Source organism: Homo sapiens, chromosome 5 (genome assembly GCF_000001405.40).
Source record: "Homo sapiens chromosome 5, GRCh38.p14 Primary Assembly".
Lineage (NCBI taxonomy): Eukaryota > Metazoa > Chordata > Mammalia > Primates > Hominidae > Homo > Homo sapiens.
The window spans coordinates 149,457,563-149,459,179 of NC_000005.10; the positions used below are offsets into that span (position 1 = coordinate 149,457,563).

At 53.1% G+C, this 1,617-nt stretch overlaps 1 annotated feature.

Moving 5' to 3' along the window:
• Positions 1–501: an enhancer, noted in NCBI's record as "H3K4me1 hESC enhancer chr5:148837126-148837626 (GRCh37/hg19 assembly coordinates)". NCBI's record gives its function as "activates a minimal SCP1, AML or CMV promoter by ChIP-STARR-seq in primed H9 embryonic stem cells {active_cell/tissue: H9 hESC(primed)}" and the evidence as "EXISTENCE:reporter gene assay evidence [ECO:0000049][PMID:30033119]".

Sequence of the window (1,617 nt, forward strand, 5' to 3'; positions counted from 1 at the left end):
CCCCCAGGCTGGGCAGGCCTTCAGTAAAGCCCACACCTGAGTGTATCAGAGGGTCTCAGGAGGGCCTGGTGGCAGGTGGAAGACACTGGCCAGGTAAGCACACGGCATCAGGCAGCGGAGTGGAGGAGGTGTCAACTGCCAGGGACCCATGACCTGGGGGGCCTCACAGGGCTGGGGCAATGCATTCTTTTTTTTTTTCTCTAAGACAGAGTCTCACTCTGTCGCCCAGGCTGGAGTGCAGTGGCGTGATCTCAGCTCCCTGCAACCTCCACCTCCCAGGTTCAAGCAATTCTCCTGCCTCAGCCTCCTAAGCAGCTAGGATTACAGGCATGCGCCACCACGCCCGGCTAATTTTTGTATTTTTAGTAGAGACGGGGTTTCACCATGTTGACCAGGCTGGTCTCGAACTCCTGACCTTGTGATCCACCCGCCTCGGCCTCCCAAAGGGCTGGGATTACAAATGCGAGCCACTGCACCTGGCTAATGCATTCTTAAAACTACAAAAGCATAAATTCCATCTTTGTCACTTGCCAATAGTAGCTACCTCTTAGAGGTGTAAGGACTAAATTGATAAAAGTGTATAGTGGTTGTTTGGTGTGGTGGCAGGTGCCTGTAGTCCCAGCTATTCAGGAGGCTGAGGCAAAAGGATCACTTGAGCCTGGGAGTTCAAATCCAGCCTGGGCAACATAGCCAGGCCCTCATCTCAGAAAACAAACAAAGTGTATGGAGGCTTCCCCCCACCATACCCAGAAATCACTCAATAAATACCTCTTGTAATTTGAGGTGGGAAAGAGAGTTCAGAATTTTACCACTGGACAGAAATAATATCTTAGTTTATACATGGGGGGACTGAAGCCTAGAGAGGCAAAGGGTCCCGTTCAAGTCCTGGATGAGCGAGGAGCAGGGCCCAGGTCTTCTGTCGAGTCCAGCCTCTCCTACCACACCCCATCTAAGGAATAAGCCAAAACACAGGAACAATGAGTCCTGGAAACCCCCATCTTTCTGGCACCCAGAAGGGCTTTGCTCCACATCAAGTGGGCAGATAAGTAGCTATTCAGAGCCCTGGGCATCCTCATAGCCCTGGCACTGGGTTACACCTTTGAGAAGAGACAGAGGCCCTGCCCTCCCACACATGAGGTATCACCTCCCAAGGTGGTCACTGGGGGCAGGGACAGAGCTGAGAGGAGGGCAGGGCTCCCAGGCTGCCTCTGCTCTCTGGGTGCTGCCTCTGTTTCCCAGGAGCCTGCTTGGCCTCATCAGCATCTACCCACAGCCTCCTCGCACCTCTTCTGATTTACAGAGCAGTTTCATTCACATCTATGATCTCTCCGCTCCATGTGGCTGTTTCTCAGAGCTACAAATTGAGGCGGGGACTTAGAAAGCTGCTGGTCAGCAGATTCCAGACACAAGCCCAAAGCCACCAGGCCAGAGGAAGACACTCTGCCTATTAGAAACGTGACTGTTGGCCGGGCGTGGTGGGATGCCTAAAATCCCAGCCCTTTGGGAGGCCGAGGCAGGTGGATCACCTGAGGTCAGGAGTTCAAGACCAGCCTGGCCAACATGGCAAAACCCCATCTCTACTAAAAATACAAAAATTAGCTAGGCGTGGTGGTGCAT